The 22027-nt window shown below is 39.3% G+C and overlaps 3 non-coding genes and 1 pseudogene across 3 annotated transcripts, besides 2 other annotated features; 3 read left to right on the forward strand and 1 right to left on the reverse strand.

Annotated features, from left to right (window-relative positions):
* Positions 2756 to 2946: a silencer, noted in NCBI's record as "fragment chr6:28676876-28677066 (GRCh37/hg19 assembly coordinates)". NCBI's record gives its function as "represses an EF-1alpha promoter that drives an FKBP-Casp9 reporter gene in an ReSE screen in K562 erythroleukemia cells {active_cell/tissue: K562}" and the evidence as "EXISTENCE:reporter gene assay evidence [ECO:0000049][PMID:32094911]".
* Positions 4246 to 4317, forward strand: TRA-AGC5-1 (tRNA-Ala (anticodon AGC) 5-1). Its single transcript has one exon. It is a non-coding gene; the product is annotated as a tRNA-Ala (tRNA).
* Positions 13320 to 13588: a transcriptional cis regulatory region, noted in NCBI's record as "candidate enhancer chr6.1371 targeted for multiplex CRISPR interference". NCBI's record gives its function as "positively regulates ZNF165 gene expression with high confidence in K562 cells {active_cell/tissue: K562}" and the evidence as "EXISTENCE:mutant phenotype evidence [ECO:0000015][PMID:30612741]".
* TRA-AGC7-1 (tRNA-Ala (anticodon AGC) 7-1) lies at positions 13361 to 13432 on the forward strand. The gene has a single exon. It is a non-coding gene; the product is annotated as a tRNA-Ala (tRNA).
* TRT-AGT3-1 (trRNA-Thr (anticodon AGT) 3-1) lies at positions 19675 to 19748 on the forward strand. The gene has a single exon. It is a non-coding gene; the product is annotated as a tRNA-Thr (tRNA).
* TRF-GAA11-1 (tRNA-Phe (anticodon GAA) 11-1) lies at positions 20735 to 20807 on the reverse strand (annotated as a pseudogene).

Genomic DNA, 22027 nt, shown 5'->3' on the forward strand with positions numbered 1-22027 from the left:
TGACCTTGTGATCTGCCCGCCTCCGCCTCCGCCTCCCAAAGTGCTGGGATTACAGGCGTGAGCCACCATGCCTGGCTGAGACATAAAACTTTCAGTATGAACTAATCAGGTAAGTTATCTGCTAAAAACAAGTAAATAAATCAAGCATTCTCCACAAAATCATCACAATAAAAAATTTCTCAACATACAAAGATCCAGGGGGATATATTCAATCTTCAAGACAAAATACAATCAATAGATGGCAAATCCAAGGTGACTCAGATCTTGAAATTATCAGATGAGGACTTTCAGTGTCTATTTTAACTGTGGTCTATGCCAAGCATACTTTAACGAACTAAAATGTAAAAATTTTTATTAAAAGAAATAGAAACTGTTCAGGCATGGTGGCTCACAACTGTAATCCCAGCACTTTACAGGGGCTCAGGGGAAGGATTGCTTGTGATCAAGAATTTGAGAGCAGCCTGGGCAACACAGCTAGAGATATCTGCTATCAAAGGTTAAAAAAAAAAAAAAAAGCTAGGTGTGGTGGTAAGCACCTATAGTCCCAGCTACTCAGGAGGCTGAGATGGGAGGACCACTTGAGCTCAGGAGTTCAAGGCTGCAGTGAGCTATGAACATACCACTGTACTTCAGCCTGGGCCTTGGAGTAAGACCCTGTCTCAAAAAAAACAAAAAGAAATAGAAAGTATTGAAAAAGAAACCAACTGGAAATTTTAGACCTGAAATATAATATCTGAAATTAAAAGTTCAATGGATAGACTCAGTGGAGATGTAGAGAAAAAAAATCAGTTAACTTAAAGATAGATCAATAGAAACCATTCAATTTAATGGGAAGAGAGAGAAAAAAAAGACTGAAAACAATGAATTCAAGGTCCTGTAGAATAATATCAAATAGTCTAAAATAGATGTCATTGGAGTCTCAGGAGAAAAAAGACTGGTGTAGAGAAATATTTACATAAATAATGACAAAAATAAGATGTAAATTTACAGATTCAAGAAACTTCCAATCAAAATTTAAAAAACTAATTAGACACATTATCATCCAGCTGCTGAAAATAAAAGCTTTTTTAAAAATCTTGGAGCTGGGCATGGTGGCTAACGCCTGTAATCTCAGCACTTTGGGAGGCTGAGGCAAGAGGATCAATGGACTCAGGAGATTGAGACCCGCCTGGGCAACATAGTGAGACTCCATCTCAAAAAAAAAAAAAAAAAAAGAGGAAAGAAGGGAGGGAAAGGAAGGAAGGAAGGAAGGAAGGAAGGAAGGAAGGAAGGAAGGAAGGAAGGAAGCTATTTTAGCCAGGCACGGTAGTGCACATCTGTAGTCCCAGCTACAGAAGGCAGAGAGGCATGCTGAGGTGGGAGGATGATTTGAGCCCAGAAGATCGAGGCTGGAACGAGCTGTGACCACACCATTGCACTCCAGCCTGAGTGACAAAGTGAGACCCTATCTTAAAAACAAACAAAAAATAATCTTGGAAACAACTACAGAAAATAACACAATTTTAAAACGGAGACCACAATCCAAATATGTGGATTTTTCTTTCAGAAACTATGATAGTCAAAAGACAGTGGAACAACATCTTTAAAATGATAAATGAAATATTAATCCAGAATTCAGTATCTAGAGAGACAATCCAGAAATGAGGAGAAAATAAAGGTATTCTCAAAGAAGGGAAGCTACAAGAATGCATTACCATCAAATCTTCTGTGTAAGAAATATTGAGAAAATTATTCAGGCTGAAAGGAAATGATACCAGAGGGAAACTTGGATCTTCAGGAGTGAAGGAAAAGCCACTGAAATGATAAATATCTGTGACAATATAAAATAATTTTTTTCTCCTAGGTTATTTTAAATATATATGGGTGTTATCTAGTGGAATTGTCCATGTGTCAGTGTAATACATTTGACAACTATAACAAAGTTGGTGAAGGGGTAAAGGATCCTATATTGGTGCTGGACTTTCATGAAGTCTAAGTGGATGGCGTGCATATTGTAATCACTAAATCACAGAGCAATCACTAAAGTAACAAGATATAGAGAAAAAGCCAATGACTAAGTTAAAATGGAATACGAAAAACATCAAAGACATCCAGAAAAAGGTAGAAAAAGGATAACAGAACAACAAATGCTACAACAAAAACACCAGAGAGAACAAATGGAAATCAAATAAGAAAGTGGCAGACATAAATCCACACATTTGATAAGGGCCTAGTATCAATATATAAAGAACTAGAATACAACTTCCAATCTCAACAGTAAAAAACAAAAAATTAATTAGAACATGACATAAAGAAATATTTTACCAAAGAAAATATACAGGTAGCAAAGAAGCACATGGAACGATGTTCAGCATCATTAACCATTAGGAAAATGCAAAATAAAACCATAATGAGATGTCATTACACACCTGTCAGAATGGTCCCTCATCTTCAGCCCATTAATTAATCCCTATGAGATGAGGCAGACAATAGTGTGGTCCTACAACACTATGGCAAACATATTTTCTCTGCTCAAATTGTTTCTCTTCTGACTCCAGCTAAGACAAGTGCAGGATGCAAGTAAAGAATACCGAAAGAGTCCGGGCGTGGCTTTCAAGATGTTCTTTATAAAATTGCCTTTCCCCACGCCTATAATCCCAGCACGATGGGAGGCCGAGGCGGGAGGATTACGAGGTCAGGAGTTCGAGACCAGCCTGACCAACATAGTGAAACCCGTCTCCGCTAAAAAAAAAAAAAAAAAAAAAAAAGTGAAAAATTAGCCCGGCGTGGTTGTGTGTGCCTGTAATCCCAGCTACTCGGGAGGCTGAGGCAGGAGAATGGCGTGAACCTGGGAGGCGGAGCTTACAGTGAGCCAAGATCGCGCCACTGCACTCCAGCCTGGGCGATAGAGCGAGACTCCGTCTCAAAAAACAAAAACAAACAAACAAAAAAAAAACTGCCATTCCCAGTACCTATTGCACAAAAATTCAGCCACACGAACGCCTGGTGAAGCGCTCAACCTGTTTATCCAGAGAGGAAAAGAGCAACGAATTGCTCTCAACCCGCGACAATCTAGAACAAAACAAACCAAATCTTCGTGCAGGACCTACGTTTTCAGCCTACTTTGTTTAGAAGAGTGAAACCTTCTGTCTTGCCGTGGGCCTGGTGAAAACGCGACAGATAGGGGAACTTGGATACGTCCAGTCTCCCTCCCTATTTAAATGCTGATGGTGTTTCGAGTCCCCTGCCTGAACCCGCTTCCTGTCTTCTCGTCCTCTTGTTCTTCTTCGTCTTTCGCTGCTTCATCTCTTCCACTTTCCCCACTCTCGCCCATAATACCCTCCACTCTCTATCTCCTTCCTTCTTCTCGTCCTCCTCTTCAGTTCTCTTCCGTTCTCAGACATTCCACTTGTAACCGAACCGTGCTGATTTTCAGAGTCACCTGGGGGAGTTCTTAAATTACTTACATTCTTGCCCCCAACCCCCATTGTCTCCAAAACACTTGCCTGGGTTGACTGTGGCACACGCATGTTGAATAAAGACAGGAAACCCTTACCTTTTGTGCTCCAGGAACACAGGGTCTGAGGACCTGTCCAGGCGCAGGGAGGTCTTAAAAAGAGCGAATTCCTTCCTCTTGCTTTCTTTGTGTTCGCCTCACCGTGAAAGGATTTTGCCTGAAAGAGGTGAAAGTCGCCTGGAGCTGTTTTCTTTCTGGTCTTCGCTCTCTAGGGATCTCAGCCAGTGAGCAGCGTCTTGGACAGAATGCCGCTTCCACGCTTCCGTAGACGCTGGGCCCAGCGGCTTGGGAGGGTTGTGACTGACACATGCTTTACACTTCATTTCACGCTGATATTGTGAATTAATTCCCCTCCAGTCTTATCTCCTCTCTTGGACCTCCGTTCCCTGAGTAGCTCTCCTAGTACTGGTCTTAGTATTCCCTAGTAGTACCGTTTATGTTTTTCTGGGAGCACTGCAGACAGAAAAGTAGGAAGTTGACTGTTTAAGATAATATTTCTACCTGGGATTCTCCTTGGTGGTGGACAAAAGCTGCCATTCGGGAAGTTCCCTAGGAACAGTCTTTGGAGGGTCCGCCATTATGAAAGACCCTAATAGCACTAAAGGGATCTTTCGGTCCAGAATGCAACTTGAGGGTTTCAGAAATAGTAGAGTTGGATAGAGTAGACTTTGACCTCGGTTTAAATCGTAGAACACTAGCAGATAACAGTGACAGCCAGTTATAAAATATAGCAAAAAAGCTAGCTTTAAGGGGGTGTAGCTCAGTGGTAGAGCGCGTGCTTAGCATGCACGAGGCCCTGGGTTCAATCCCCAGCACCTCCATGTATTATGCTCATTTGCCTAGCGGCCCAGAGCAGGGACCCTTGGCAGAAAACAGCACGATTTGCTTCATGAGTGGCAACAGACTCAAAAGTAGCCTAAGGTCTACGTTTTGGGTGGTATGTCTAAATAATGCTGCATTGAAGCGTGGGATTAGGAAGAACCAAGGCCCTTGGAATTAAAATGAATAGCAGTAATCCACTTTCATCGTTTGTTTCTTACCCACAGTCAACCGCGATCTGAGATTACTACATGAAAAATTCCAGAAATAAACAATTCATAAGTTTTCAATTTCTCTGTTGTGAGCAGCATGATGAAATGTCGCCTCATGTGCTCCATCCCGCCTGGGAAGTAAACCATCTATTTGTCCAGCATATCCACGCTGTGTAGTAAGCCACCCACTAGTTAGTCAGTCAGTAGCCATCTGAGTTATCTGAGCTACTGTCCTCACGTTGCTTGTGTTCAAATAACCCTTATTTTACTCAATAAAGGCCCCAAAGTGCAAGAGTAGTGATGCTGGCAGTTTGGGTATGCCAAAGAGAAGCCCTAAAGTGCTACCTTTAAGTGAAAAGGGGAAAGTTTTCTACTTAATAAGGAAACAGAAACAAATTCATATCAGAGGTTGCTAAGAGCTATGGTAAGAATAAATCTTCTATCCATGAAATTGTAAAGAGAAAAGAAATTTGTGCTAGTTTTGCAGAAGTTACTGCTACAGTGTGTGATAAGTGCATAGTTAACATTTAAAAGACAGTAAATATGTGGGTGAAACACGTGAACAGAACACTTAATCTACTTGAGGGCAACACGTTATACCAGAAAACACTGAGCCCATATGAAGACTTCATCAAGGGATCCTCTGAAATGATTGACACCAACCCATATATTGCAAGTAGGGGATGGTTACACAGATTCAGGAATAGGTTTGGACTGAAAAATATAAAAATTATTGGAGAGGCTACGTCTGCCAATGAAGAAATCACATTTTACGAATCCAATGATTACACTCTAAAGAGTTCAGAAGAACATATTGCTAGATGTGTTATTCTACATTTATGCTATTAAATTTCAAATAGTAAATTTAACTTGACTGAAAAAGTTAACCTAGCCAGGCGCTGTGACTCATGCCTGTAATCCTAGCACTTTGGGAGGCCAACGCAGGTGGATCACCTGAGGTCAGGAGTTCAAGACCAGGCTGGCCAACATGGCGAAACCCTGTCCCTACTAAAAATACAAAAAAAATAGGCAGGCATGGGGTGCACAGCTGTACTCCCAGCTACTCTAGAGGCTGAGTCAGGAGAATCACCTGAACCCGGGAGGCAGAGGCTGCAGTGAACTGAGATTGCATCACTGCACTCCAGCCTGGGTGACAGAGACTCTGTCTCAAAAAAAAAAAAAAAAAAAAATGTTAACCTGTACACATTTTCCTACATACTGTGGATATGACTTACATTTGTGGTCATTATTAACATAGTCATAGTAATAACCTTCTAAAGAGAAGTTGGAAGCCAGCATTTACAGGTGGAAAGAAAGCTGATGCAGCTTCATGAGTAAGGATGCAGTCAGCATCCAACAAAAGGCATTTGGGAACTGTACAAGCAGGAAGATCCATATTGTTTCAACACAAAAGAGTTCCAAAGAGCCGCGGTATTGTGAGTAATAACAATGTTGCTACCTTTTACTCATGGTAGGAAACATAGAATTAGCCAGAAACAGTGTGATTAACAATAAATAACATGAACAGATAGTTTCTGGACTGAAAAGGATGAGTTGGTGCCAGAAAACTACGAAAAATGTTTCTGAGTATTGATTAGGCTGTAAACAAATATGTAAGTACCCATTATTCTAAATCTCTATTAATACACAACAAGATCCTCACAGGATCCCCTAAATTTTGTAAAACATTTTTTAATCAAATTATATACTCGTTAGCCAGATGTGGTGGCTTTTGCCTGTAGTCCCAGCTAGTCAGGAGTCCAAGGTGGGAGAATCACTTGAACCCAAGAGGCAGAGGTTGCAGTGAGCCAAGATCCAGCCACTGCACTCCAGCCTGAGAGACAGAGTGATACGCTGTGTCAAATATATACGTATATATTTATAAATATATTTATATATATATAATATTTTTATAGATATATATAATTTTTATATAATATTTATATAACTTTATATTAATTTATATATAAATATATATTATATATTTAATATACATTTATATATATAATAATATATATATTTATATTTATAAATATATATATTTATATATTTATATATAATATATTAATATATCATATATATTTATATATATGATATTAATATATTATATATAAATGTATGTTATTCACATTATATAAATAAAAATATATATATTAATTATTCACTTTATATATATATAAATATATATATTATTCACATTATATATATATAAATATATATATATTATTCACATGGACAGGGGCCCCACAAAAAACAAATATGTTTGTCTGGGTTACTCAACATCCTAGGGGTGGCTCTGCCCCATTTTTATTCTGTGAGTCTTGGCACCATCCAAACAACTGTCATCACGAAAGAAGGAGGATAGAAATTAGTAACAGATCTGATTTACACAGGTTCTTTTGACATCAAGATGTACTATCACAATAATGAGGATATTCAGTTTGTCTTCTATTTTTCCCTATTATTGAAGAAAAGGAGAAATAGAAGAGGCTCATGAAAATTTTCCTTTACTTCTCATTATTTCTTTTTTCTTTTTTTTTTTGAGATGGAATTTCGTTCTTGTTGCCCAGGCTGGAGTGCAATGGCACGATCTCAGCTCACTGCAACCTCTACCTCTCGGGTTCAAGTGATTCTCCTGCCTCAGCCTCCCGAGTAGCTGAGATTACAGGCATGTGCCACCACGCCGGGCTAATTTTGTATTTTTGGTTGAGACAGGGTTTCCCTATGTTGGTCAGGCTAGTCTCGAACTCCTGACCTCAGGTGATCCGCCTGCCTCGGCCTCCCAAAGTTCTGGGATTACAGGTGTGAGCCACCGCACCCGGCCCCCCTCTTTTTTTTTTTTTAGACAAAGCGTCACCCAGGCTGGAGTGCGATGGCGTACTCTCATCTCACTGCAATCTCCGCCTCCCGGGTACAAGCGATTCTCCTGCCTCAGCCTCCCAAGTAGCTGGGACTACACGTGTGTGCTACCACACCCATCTAATTTTGTATTTTTAGTAAAGACGGGGTTTCACCATTTTGGCCAGGCTGGTCTCGAACTCCTGACCTTGTGATCCGCCCTCCTTGGCCTCCCAAAGTGCTGAGCTTACAGTCATGAGCCACCACGCCCGGCTTACTTCTCATTATTTCTAGTGCAAATTTTAGACTTTTACATTTACAACTAACTTTGGATTTACAGAAAGGTTACAAAACAAATACAGAGTTTTTATATTTCCCACCTAGATTCTTCTAATCTTTTTATACTTTTTGTATACATAGTGGTTATCTTTTATCGGGCATTAATTATCAATTAGAATATGAAAGGATTAAGCAAAAATCATGTTCCTCAAGGAGAGGTGCCAGGTTCCTCAAGGAGAGGCGCCAGGACAAAGAAGGCCATAGTCAGGAATGCAGGGTACTCCCTCTACACAGGCTTTTTTTTTCCTCCCCAGTGATATTTTCATAGCTATTCATGTTTCATCTCCTCGTAAGAATGAGAGAAGCTGAAAAACACGTAAGCTGCCACCACCGTAGAAACCCCGTCAAGTGGAACACGTGTTCTGTTCACGTATTTCACCCACAAATTTAGTGCCTTTTCCATGCACTTATCACACACTGTAGCAGTAGCTTTCGCAAAACTAACAAGAATTTATTTTCCCTTCTTTACAATTTCACGGAAAGAGGATTTATTCTTACCATAGCTCTTAGCAACCTCGGATACGAATTATTTTTCTCTTTTCTTATTAAGTAGAGAACTTTCCCCTTCTTTACAATTTCAAGGATAGATTTATTCTTACCATAGCTCTTAGCAACGTTGGATACGAATTTTTTCTCTTTCCGTATTAAGTAGAGAACTTTCCCCTTTTCACTTACAGGCAGCACTTTATGGCTTCTCTTTGGCATACCCAAACTGTCTGCTGTCTTCCTCTAATCTTAATATCTATGTGAACACAGTGTGATGATCAAAACCAGGAAAGCATCAATGAATATATGAGAAGGTGGAAGAACAGAGCATTTTCTCATTGATCATCCTACTAGTCTCCTCCCTTCACCTCAATCTTCACAGTACCTGCCATCAAAAGTTTGGTCTAACAATGCGAACAGATGGCCGTAGATAACAGCAATTTCTAGGTGAGTGGGTGGATGGACATTGGACAACAGAACAATGGCTTTCAATGAACTACAATACTGCCAAGAATAATAGGTGAAAAAATAAACAAGTCTGCATTAAATGAATTAGATAACCTACCATGCCAAAATATTTTATCCTATCCAGTTCTCTGTATTTCTTCACTCATCTCATTTTTTCTTCTTTTTGAATAGATAAATGAAATATTTTCTGCAAACATCCATTATCATCAGAAGACACCCCATGTGGAAGAAGCAAATTATTTTTGTGTTAAAATGGATATTATCAACTGCAAAGAAAAAGGTGAATATTTCACAAGTGAGCCAGAACATTTACAGTGTAAACAAGAGCAGTTGCTACCTTTGCTTTTTTTTTCCCACTTCTTCAATATGATCACCATGCTTTTCATTACCCTGCTACTCAGTATTTCTAGTCAACTGACTGATATTTTTAAAGGTTTTCAAAGGTATGAATATGAATACACTTTTTTTATATTGAATTAGCCAGAGGAAAGCAATTTCTATCTGCCAACTTTACTTTTTTCTTTTCACCTGGCAGCCTCTCTTCACATTCTAGCCCCAAGAAGGAAATTCCATTTCTTTACTCAATGGCTGCATTCTTAGATCTTGTTTTAAATATCTTTGGTTAATGAGTTCTAAAGCAAGGAGTATGAGAAAACTGGTGCAAAACCTCCACTAACTTATATGAGTTCGGAAGTTTGTTTCTTTGTCTCTGATTTTTAAGAGCTTTAATAAAATAAAATCAACCTGAGACACATTCATACTACAAATCCTGAAAACAGGATTTGTGGAGGGCAAGATCTGCCCTTTCCTCACCAACCTCTTGGCAAATCTTCAGCAAACATTATATAAGACCGCACTGCCGGGCGCGGTGGCTCACGCCTATAATCCCAGCACTTTGGGAGGCCGAGGAGGGCGGATCACGAGGTCAGGAGATCGAGACCATCCTGGCTAACACGGTGAAACCCTGTCTCTACTAAAAATACAAAAAATTAGCCGGGCGTGGTGGCGGGCGCCTGTTGTCCCAGCTACTGGGGAGGCTGAGGCAGGAGAATGGCGTGAACCCGAGAGGCGGAGCTTGCAGTGAGCCGAGATGGTGTCACTGCACTCCAGCCTAGGCGACAGAGCAAGACTCCGTCTCAAAAAAAAAAAAAAAAAAAAGAAAAGAAAAGAAAAAAAGACTTCACTAGGGCACAGTGGCTCACGCCTGTGATCCCAGAACTTTGGGAGGCCGGGACGGGTGGATCACTTGAGGTCAGGAGTTGGAGACCAGCCTGGCCAACATGGCGAAACCGCATTTCTACTAAAAAATGCAAAAATTGGCTGGGCATGGTAGTGGGTGCCTGTAATCCCAGCCACTCAGAAGGCTGAGGCAGGAGAACAGCTTGAACCCAGGAGGCGGAAGTTTCAGTGAGCCGAGACCACCCCATTGCACTCCAGCCTGGGTAACAGAGCAAGACTTTGTCTCCAAACAAACAAATAAAAACTTACTGAATGGATCAGATGATGAAATTTCAAGTTTCCTAGTGGACATCTAGAATTATTGACTGAAGGATTGGATGAGAACTGAGAACTGTTCAACATTGAAGACAACATGTCTTCCTATGAGTGATACTGACATTGTCAAAGAGAAAATGAATCCAAAAGTCACTCTTTTTCAAACTGTCTTTTGAATTCAGGATTTTTGTCTCTAAAGAAAATATCTGGAGCAAGTGCTTTGGAGGAAATCTGTCTGGCTTTGAAACCTGTCCTGCTACATGTTGGCTGTGAGCTATGTGGCCAATTATTTCACCTCTGAAAAAGTTGGTTTATCAAAGGAGTGATGTGCTCATTTAATGCAACCCGTTGTTATGACATTATCCACGTGTTATCTCCAGCTACCTCAAGCATTCAGGGTCATATTGACCACAGTCAGAACTCGACCTTGGATTCTATAAGTAGGATTCAAAGTTGCCCTTGAGAAGCCTTCAAAATTCAAGCTTCCCTACACCTGGTAGTAAATGTACCTCATTTACTACCTTCAAAATTCAGTGCCTTCAAAATTCAGTGCCTTCAAAATTCAAACTTCCCTGCACCTGGTAGTAAATGTACCTCAACTATCACTCACCTGGAGAAGACATTATGATTCAGTTTAAGAGCACTAAATCTTGGATTTGGGAAAAACTATAAAACCAATAAAAGCCTATAAAACAAAATAAAACAAAAAAATGGAAATGCCCATTTCCAATTTCTCTAGTTTAGGGAGGAAAGCAATATACAGCCCCTATAATGAAGAAAAGAAGATGTTCAGGTAATGTCAATTAAATGAAAGCTCATCTGTACTAAAAACATGAGACACATTTTTGTTTCCTCAGCTTTTGTCTGCCATACTCTGGAAGCCTTAGAAGTGGATGATCAGTGCTTGATGTGTGCTACAGAAGAAGGAGCTGTCCCCAAGTCTCCCTGCTAATCCAAGTAACGAAGCCAGGGAAGAAAGCAAGAAAGAAAGGGGAAAGAGAGAGAGCGTACTACATTTGCCCTATTTCAAGAGTTTGTAGTTTCTTACATCTTTTTTTCTTTTTTTTTTTTTTTTTGAAACGGAGTTTCGCTTTTGTTGCCCAGACTGGAGTGCAATGGCATGATCTTGGCTCACCGCAACCTCCGTCTCCCGGGGTTCAAGCGATTCTCCTGCCTCAGCCTCCCAAGTAGCTGGGATTACAGGCATGTGCCACCACCCCGGCTAATTTTGTGTTTTTAGTAGAGATGGGGTTTCCCCATGTTGGTCAGGCTGGTCTTGAACTCCCGAGCTCAGGTGATCCGCTCGCCTCAGCCTCCCAAAGTGCTGGGATTACAAGCGTGAGCCACCGCGCCCGGCTGGTTTCTTGCATCTTATAGCCCACCAATCTTTTAGGCAACATTGAAAGTCACACAAAATGACCCTAGACTTTTGTGTAAATGAACTCACAATAAACTTATTGGGGTCCCACTCTAGCCAAAATACATGGAGTTTTAGATATTTAATCCAAGTGTCTGATTGACCTGTTTTGGCCACTGGGCTCTCAGTTTAAACTTAAGTTTGGAAGCCCCAAGTTCCACAACAGATAACACATTCTTTTCACCCTCAGAGAAAAAGTTAGGGGTACTCTCACCTTGGCCACCTCTTCACTCACTCACCTCTTTAGTAATTCAGTTAATTTTTTGGTCGAGGATCAAGTTGCTAAAACTTCTTTTAGATCAATAAATGAGATAGACAAACTGCACATTGGAAAGCATGCATAGAGTTTAATTTTTGTTTTTGACAAAGTAGCCACTGATATTGGTGGCTTCAAAGAAAACAGAAGGAAAGCCACTCCCTGACTCCATTGTGGCTGTGGTGGAACCTATTTGAATGAGAAGGAGGATCTGTTGGCAGTTTTGAGCTTGGGTACCTAAGTTTTGGCTAGGAGTGACTACTAGCACACTGGCTCATAAGGCAAGGGAAAGCATTAAAAAATATAGGTTAGGGCTCACACCCATAATCCCAGCACTTTGGGAGGCCGAGGCAGGTGGCTCACCTGTCAGGAGTTTGAGACCATCATGGCCAACATGGTGAAACCCCATCTCTACTAAAAATACAAAAATTACCCAGGAGTGGTGGTGGGCACCTGTAATCCAAGCTACTCAGGAGGCTGAAGCAGGGAGAATTGCTTGAATCTGGGAGGGGGAGGTTGCAGTGAGCCGAGGTCATGCCACTGCACTCCAGCCTGGGTGACAGAGCGAGGCTCTGTCTCAAAAATAAATAAATAGAATAATTTTTAAATATATATATGTGTATGTATGTTATATATACACATATTTAAAAAAATATATGTTAGGATGGTAACCAAATATTTTTTAATTGAAGAGATTTTGAAAATCAAAATGTCTTTAACCCTGAATAATTTGTTAGAAAATTAAACTTTCAATTTGATGGTCCAGTGTTTGAGCTCCTTTTCAGATCCTGATAATGTTTTTTGTTTCCCTTACTCAGTTCTAATAGAATCCTAGTAAAACCCAGCTTTCTCCTGGATAAACTTGTCTATGTTTCATTCTCCTTGCGTGTGTTATTTTGGCTCAGCAGAAGTAAGAAAAGCCAGTGTAACTGTATGACTTGAGGCTGTCTATTCTGTTCTACTGTAGGGGAGATCATCTATTTGCAGTTCTTTTGTATCTAGAATGTAGTTATAAGGTCAAACTACCGTGTAAAACATTTACCTGGATTGGTTCTCTTTTTAAATTCCGATATTATTCATTTGAAATGATTTTATTTTTTTCAATTTGTTTTCAAATTTAAAGTACTTTTTCTCTATAGTTGCTAGTTTTGTTTTTAAATTTGACTGTGTAAACCATTAACATGATTCTAAGAAACAAAACTATACAGAGAAGTATCACTCAAGAGAAATTTTCAAGCTGCTGGAGATTGTTACATCATGGGACCCTCTCAGGTGGAGGAATGGAAGTGCCCTTCAGGCCTCTTCTTGGGAACCAAATTTGGGGTGGGCTGACAAGACTGGAATGGTAATATTTTTGTGTAGCATCAAATTACTCTTCTCCTGATGTACCTGTAAGATAGAAAGAAAAACCTAGAGGTTTCAGAAATAGAGTCATACATAAGGGATCTTTGTATTAAATTTCAGATTCTCAAAACTCACAAGCAAAGAGAAAGATTAAATTATAATGTTTAGAACAAAAAAAAGGCTATTGCAACGGGGGTGTAGCTCAGTGGTAGAGCGCGTGCTTAGCATGCACGAGGCCCCGGGTTCAATCCCCGGCACCTCCAGTAGTTGATACCACGTTGTGTATCACCACCAATGAAGACGGCGGGTTTCATTGCCACGAGTCTCGGATTTTCCTGGGGTTTTCAAAACCATCTTGATTTACCAGAAGATAATCTGTGCTACTATCCTATCCTAAAAAAATGTGCTATGTAACATTTTTTATTTGTATTTAAAATTTTAAATTGACAAGTAAAATTACGTTTTTATTATCTACAACATACTATTTTGAGATACATATCTCATATGATAAAAACAATTTTACTTGTCAATTTAAAATTTAAAATACAAATAAAAAATAAAATGTTACACGCATGCATTGTGGAGTAGCTAAATCGAGCTAATTACCATATGCATTACCTCACATAGTTATCATTTTTGTAGTGACAACACTTTAAAATCTCTTCATGTTTCAATACATTGTATTGTTTTTACCTATAGTCATCATGTTGTACAATAGATTTCTTGCACTTCTTCTAACTGTAATTTTGTATTCTTTTACCAACATCTTCCCAAGGCTTCCCCGACCCTACCAAAGTTACTTGTTGACATTTTTGTTACTCACTTACTCTCTCTAGCCACTCTGAGCAATCACTGCTATGTTGGCTACAGTCTTATACTTCACAAAAATTTAGTGGGAAAAATTAAAGTTCTGAGGGCAGAAAAATCACCTTAACTTGAAAAGGATCTCCTTAGACACTTAACCACACTTCCACCTCATCTTTCATGCACCTCAGACTAGCATCAGGAATTAATTCAAGAGGGTTCGTTCTTGGATTTGGGGGAAAGTTTAATATTAATATTAGGATGTTGTAGTTTTGTTTTGTTTTGTTTTGTTTGTTTGTTTTACGGAGTTTCGCTCTTGTTACCCAGGCTGGAGTGCAATGGAGCGATCTCGGCTCCCGGCAACCTCCGCCTCCCGGGTTCATGCGATTCTCCTGCCTTAGCCTACCGAGTAGCTGGGACCACAGGCGCGTGCCACCACGGCCAGCTGAATTTTTGTATTTTTAGTAGAGACAGGGTTTCACTGTGTTAGCCAGGATGGTCTCGATCTCCTGACCTCATGATCCGCCCTCCTCGGCCTCCCAGAGTGCTGGGATTGCAGGCGTGAGCCGCCCCGTCCGGCAAGGCTGGAGCATTTTTAAAAAGTCAGCCTGCTCGCGTACTTTGGAAAAAGCAGCATCCTGTGGGATGAAGAACCCAGTAATGAAAAGCAAGACTTCGTTACACAATGTGTGGAGCCCAAAGTCCTGTGAACCGCACTGGTCACAGACCCATGAAGCTGGCCCTGATGAGAGGTGTAGAAGAGATCATCCCCAACAAAGAAACAAGCCGTTTTCTTGTTTCTTTACCTTCTCCTAAGAGATAGAAAAGTAGGTGTTCAACAATGCCAGTTTTGAACTGAGGAAGCAGGAGATGCTTATTCACCACAAAGACTTGCTACCCTGTCCTGCCCGGTTTGAATCCTGAAGTGAAAGAAGTGAGAGTGCAGAAAAACTCCTTTGTCTTCTACCAGTGCTGAGCTCAGACTCTGGGTATTGTTGAGAGAGCATCCCCTTTTGAAAAGGCTGCAAAAAAAGAAATGGAGTGGAAGTCCTAAGCATTTATGGAGACATCAGAGGAGGGCACAGACACATCACCACATGAACAGGTGTCACAGACACACCATCACATGAACAGGGGGCGCAGACACACCCTCTGCACTGAGTTAGGACAATCGCCTTATGTTTGTGGGATATTTCTACATTTTCCCTCCCAGTAGTCTAAATTTGTAGTCCTAATAATAACTTTGATGAATCAACATAAATTTGATCACACAATCCAGTTTATGACAGAAAATAGTTTTTGTGTTTCACTTAAACCAGGAGAAAATATTATAGAGGGAGACCTAAATGCATAAGGCAAGAGGTTTGAAGGAAAGATAAAGGCTATTGTATCTGTTGAATAAAATATCTAGGAGGCCATTGATTTGGACTGGCCTCCTCCACTAAGCCTAACAGATCAAACTAATATGGAGTTGAATTACAGTAGCTGAGCTTTAATTACTTGCTGGAGGCTCTGTAACCAATTAACAAAGTAAGCTGTAACCAATGAGGTTGTCTCCACTGTACTTATGTTTCCCACCTATGCTGTTAGGCCATGTTATTGGTTGGCATTCTCTGAACCTGCTCTGGTTTGTAGGGTTGCCTGATTCTTCAATCGTTTTTGTTGTGTTTTGCTATGTTTCATTTTGTTGTTCTTTGCTCAAATAAGCCCAGTTAAAATTTAAACTTGTCTAAGGATATTTCCATGAAACATGAGAAAAGGACATTGGTCACAGAAAAGATGATTGGTCTGGTTTGTGTTAATTTAGTGCTTGTTGCAAATAATTCGCCACTTTTTAGAAGAAACCAAGTGGTCACATAAAGTCAGAGGCCACTGCAAATGTTTCAATAAAGGAGTTTAGGAAACCTACATCTCAGGCCAGGCGCAGTGGCTCCCACCCATAATCCCAGCACTTTGGGAGGCTGAAACAGGCGGATCACCTGAGGTCAGGAGTTCGAGACCAGCCTGACCAATATGGAGAAACCCCGTCTCTACTAAAAATACAAAATTAGCCAGGTGTGGTGGTGCATGCCTGTAATCCTAGCTACTCGGGAGGCTGAGACAGAAGAATTGCCTGGGAGGCAGAGGTTGTGGTGAGCTGAGATCGTGCCACTGCACTCCAGCCAGGGCAACAAGAGCGAAACTCCATCTAAAAAAAAAAAAAAGAAAGAAACCTGCATCTCTCCTACCTCACAAATTTGGACAACTTTGAGTCACAAAAAGTCACCAGCTGTTCTGTGAACTAAATTACACAAGCTCTAGAACACATGCTCCATCCAAAGTAAGTGGGAATTGTCTTTTCCATGCAAAAAGTGCCACACCAAGCCATTCCATGCCACCAGCTTTATGTAGCATCAAAATTACATTTTCCACAGAAAACACTCCTTCCACTTTCCCAGAAAGACCATCCACCCTAATGTCTGGTAATTCAGCCAAGCACATATTATAGGAGCATGTTCCTGAAATCTACAGCATAAATGAATTGTATTAAAGACTTCTCCCCTCTCTAGTAGAGATGTCAGTTGCTGCTTACAGGTCCTTTTGGAGTGAATGCTGTTGTCATTCCCCTGAGACTCAAGCCTGCCAAATAAACCAGACTCTCTCTCTTCTGTTCCTATCATCTCCCATTGTCATTTTCTTTTTTTTCACTGCAGATTCAATCTCTGGATCTTCTCCACCCCAAGTGCTGTCATTATCATCAAATGACTTAGGCAGGGTTTTTGTGCTCTATTTTGAATATATATTTGTGTGTGTACATATATTTAAAATTGCTTACATATCTATATAAAAAATGGCTTATATACACCTATTATTATAGATTTAATAATGTATGTATATAAATAATATAAACAATATATTGTATGTTTTTATATACATATTTATGTAATTATGGGAGTGGCATCCCTTTACCTTTGCCATATTCTATTGGTTAGAAGTAAATCACAAGTCCCATTCACACTCAAGGGAAGAGTATTACACAAATACTTGAACACTAGGAGATAGAAATTATTGGAGATCAACCTAGGGAATCTTTGTCAAAGTAAGCTTGTGCAAAATTAATTGTGTTTTCCAGGCTTTTAAATATACTCCTACTGTAATCTGAATATTTGTGACTGCCCCATCACTGAAAATTCATATGTTGAAACCTAATCACCAATATTATTAGGTTAGGCTTTAGGGCCTTTGGAAGGTGATTAGGTGATAAAGGTGGAATCTTCATGAATGGGATTAGTGCTCTTATAAAATATGCCTGAGAGAGACCTTTTTCTGTAAATGGCCAAGTAGTAAATATTTTAGGATTTGCAAGTCAAATGGCCAAATCAAGGATATTATGTAGGTACTTATATAACAAGGGAGAAAAAAAGTCTACTCATATTTATTGATGCAATTCAAAACACAATACTAATTGAGTATAATTATTGATAACGAGAAAAATTAAATAATAATAATAATTATTATTATTACAGATGGGGGCTCAAAGTTAGCCTTTCCTATCATCAAAGTCATTTGCTAATGCTCATCTGTTAATGACCTGTAGTGCAATTTTATTTATTTCATCTTTGAAAATATCTTTTCATAAAGATAGGAGATGCCAAATGGCTAATATTAATCTGTGAGTATATAATTTGGGGCATATTCATTGCATGGAAGACATTTATGGATTCTAGTAGGTTCATCTCTTTATGTTTGCTTTTAGCATGTCATTACATTGCAAATTAGTCACTTCAAAGTGAGGCTTAGTGTGAAGCTCCTCAATTGCACAATTAAGTAGATTTTGAAATATGAAAATTGCTTTTGCACTTGCATTAAGTTTTTAACATACTGTTGGTACTGTAGTTCGAGTTAGGAGAATATATCTGCTGAAAATTTCTGTGGGATTGGAGAATTGCTTCTTTTAACTTTTGACAGCACAAGCAGTGCACAGGGCAGCTTGATATTACTATGATTCTAGCAGTGTTAGCTGTCATCAAAATGACTTTACTGCAGTACAAGTTTTATACATAAACATTGTTTTACCTTGTAATTTTGGGCTGAATTTATTAAAAAGCATTATCCAATCTGAAACAAAAGCTAACTTCCAAAGCCAGTCAGTGTTTGATCATAGTAATTGAGGGCAGTTCTTCCCCTTCAAAAAAAAATTTCCATCTCATCCCTGAGTTAAACACACACACACACACACACACACACACACACATACAACTTGTCAGCGTTAAGTCATTAAACTGCTGTGTGATCCATCTTGTCAGGACCTTCAGCTTCTAATTTCTGTCAAAAATTTGTAAAAGTGATGCCTGGTCCACCAGAGCAAATTAAGTCTACTGTTCAATAACACCTGATACCATCAAATTTTTTCCACAAATTATCTGTTAATGAATAATATAATAGATAACAATAGGTTTACATTTATCACAAGTTATTTAAACTTTTTCATCTAAGCCTCTTCCTCTCCTTCTCATAATTTTGCCATCACTAGCTGTAACATATCTTAGCAGATTTAGCTGCAGGTTGCAGTGAATTATTGTTTTTCAACTTCTTAGAAAATACTGTACTTCTAGGCCGTGCGTTGTCGCTCATGCCTGTAATCCCAGTACTTTGGGAGACCGAAGCAGGTGGATCACCTGAGGTCAGGAGTTCGAGACCAGCCTGGCCAACATAGTGAAACCCCCGTCTCTACTAAAAACACAAAAATTAGCAGGGTGTCATGGTGCATGCCTGTAATCCCAGTTACTCGGTAGGCTGAGGCAGGAGAATTGCTTGAACCCAGGAGGCGGAGGTTGCAATGAGCCGGGATTGTGCGACTGTTCTCCAGCCTGGGCAGCAGAGTGAGACTCCGTCTCAAAAAAAAAAAAAAAAAAAAAAAAAATACTGGTGACAGAGACTCGAGTCTTCATTCCTTACATTAATAGTTTGAATGCTTATCAACTGAACTGCATGAATCTATCAATCTAGCTGGGACACACATATATATTCCACTAACTCATTTGGTAGCTGTTGTCCTAATCTGTGAATCTCCTTTGAATTTTCCTCTTGGCAGAGAAAGTTCCATTTTAAAGGGACAGTATAGTCGCTAAAGCTCCAGAACACTCTGTTTTCCTCCCTCCTGTCTTCCTTGTCTTCCATCTCTTTATGAGTCTAGATAAAGAGTTGTAATGTTCCCTAGAAAAAGTCACTGAGGTTATTAACTCCTTCACTCATTTTCCTTCCTTTTCAAACTTAGTAAACCATAGGAATTGCTTGAGCTCATTTCCAGGGGTTGACTTTTAAAGTGAAAGAACTTGTGGCATTTCCCTTCTGTCACAGATGCACAATCTGAACATTAAGTCAAATGCCTTAGAAAGCCTAAAATGATCCTGAAATAAAAATATTTACTCATAGTTCCTTCTTTGATCTTGCTTGAATTTTTCCCTCGGCTTGTGTTCCCATGAGGCAACAAGGCTCCAAGACAACTACAGTGAGGTTATGAAGAGCAAAAGAAAAAGACTGGCAAATCAGTGCTTCCATTAAAGCTGTTATTCACTGTCTTGAGTGGCTGTGAGTGGAATCAAAGGCCAAATAAAAATCCAAGAAATGAACAACTTTTTTTAATAAAAAGGAAAATCTAAATTCTACCACAAATACCAAGGTATACTCTGATAGAAGGAAACCAAAAACAGTCTCCGTGGGCTCCGTAGCTTAGTTGGTTAAAGCGCCTGTCTAGTAAACAGGAGATCCTGGGTTCGACTCCCAGCGGGGCCTTGGTTGGCAAGGTCAGTGTGCCTTTCTGCCAACTCTCTTAAAACTTGAGATTTTTCTATCGTTCCTGTCTACCTTCGAAGATCCTCCACCCCTGATTTTGGACATAACAGGTGGCATCCAAAGGCTTTGGAAACAAACTGAAACTGTACATCCTCCCAACATAAGACTACATAAAAATAGCAAAGATCAGGACAATAATTATAATATACTGCCCATTTTTTTGTTTGCTTTAAAAAAAAATTCAAGCCATATCTTCCATTGGGATTTTCTGTGCAATGTCGTTTCAAGTATTCCAATTTATATAAAGAGTTAAGAACAACAAATTGAAGTTTAGAGAGGGAACGTATACTGTAGGCGTGGATTTTAATACAGTACTGGCCAGTGCTCTTGGGATTATAATTCAACTATAGGCATGCGAAGAGTTAGAATGTCTTCAATTCTCCAAATTTGTAAAATGTCAACTATGAATTAATAATCTGTAATTATGAATGCCGATTATAGATACTACAATTACATGTACTGTGAATGTCGATTTAATATTGAAGAAGGCCAGCTACATAATTTACAGGCCCAGTGTAAAATGAAAATACAGGGTCCCTTATTCAAAAAGCAGGGGCAACTGCCATCAAAAGTGCTAAAATACAAAGCTTTTCCCTTTCAGTCGCTCTTTTTTCGGCCTGTCATGGTATTTTTCATTTTCTGTCTAATGTCACTCTAATTAAGAAAAAATAAAATAAAATTGTGAGTATCAAAATGAATTTTACAGTTCATCTTTATTTCACACATCAAAATTCACGGGGCATCGCGATTGCTTTATTATATATGGAGAAGCAAAGGAAGTCAGACACGAAATTCCTTTGCTTATGTGCCATGCTCTTTTGCTCCCCCGAATATCAATTACGAAATATAAATTAAGAGATGCAGTTCATATGAAATTTTAAGACTGCAAAGGCAGATCGCTGGTAGAGTCTCTGAAAAGGAAAAGTTGCCAAAACCCAGAATTGAACCAGTCTCCTTTAGATCTTCAGGCTGATGCCCTCCCAACCGAGCTATCTCAGCTTACTGTAGACTGAAAATTTTATTCAATTTCTCTTTCAATACTTCGATTGTTTCCAACTTTTTAGCTTTCAGGTTTCTTAAGTACTTTTATTATACAATGTATTTACCCACTAAGAAAGACTTGGAACTTATTGACTCCTACATATGATGGCTGAATCCAATTCCCTGGCAGTGTGGAATGGATAGGTGGAGGAGGGAGATAGAAGAAAAGTAACAGGAATTAAAAAACAAACAAAAAACTTTCTGCTCTTCCACATCCTGTTGGTTGAGCCAGACACAGCAAAGAAAATTTAAAAATAAAAATAAAAAATAAAATGTGGTGGCGTTCTTTGTTTTTCTTTTCTTTTTGTCTTTAATAATCTTCGAAGATGTGGAGAATTGGAACCCAAGGTTAATTTCTGTTAATGTGGGGTCAGGTTTCTGTCTCCTAGCGATGATTTTGAATGAGCTATTAATCCTTTGTTTTATCCTCTTTCATCTAGTCTTTGTCATAGTCTTTTGCACTGGGTGGTGCAGAAGTTTATGGCGTACAAATGGAGTAGCACTAAAGGGAGTACTTTGGATCATGTATGCGAGTAAAGCGTATGAGAAAAGAAGGGGTGGCTGTTGGTGAGTAGCTAAAGAACAGCAACATTTTCAGGAAATGAAACCAAGACAGCACACATTTTAAGTATGCATTCTACCACCGAGCAACATTCTTGTGATAGCCAAGCTCTCTTGGAGATACATCTTGATATATCTGTGTCAGTATTTCTAATTTTCAAAACATAATGGTTGGCGGGAGAAAATCCACTGAGATAAATCCCACTATTTCTGAAATCACTAAACTGGATCTCGTTTAATCGCTATACCACGAGAAAGGTTACTGAATTGCAGACTAAATGACAATGCATCTGCTTCTAGGACATTCCCAGTCCAACCTGAAAAGGGTAGACAATTGCTGAAACATGTTTATATGAATATTGTTTTACTTGCACATAATTAACCTAGGGTGAATAAGTTTCTTTCTTTTGAACTGATAGAGCTTTGTTTTCTTTTGTTTTTCACATTGTGAGATTTGTCACAGACAATTGTCACAATTGTTTTGACCTAATTAAAGTGTGGAGCACATTACTGCTAATTATTTTCAATATTCACCTTTTTATTAAGAGCTAGAACAAGTCTTTATTGTGGATCGGAAGCTGATTGGGAAACTAGGAGCTAGTTTTAATGTAAGAAAC

The sequence above is a fragment of the Homo sapiens genome, chromosome 6, assembly GCF_000001405.40.
Source record: "Homo sapiens chromosome 6, GRCh38.p14 Primary Assembly".
Lineage (NCBI taxonomy): Eukaryota > Metazoa > Chordata > Mammalia > Primates > Hominidae > Homo > Homo sapiens.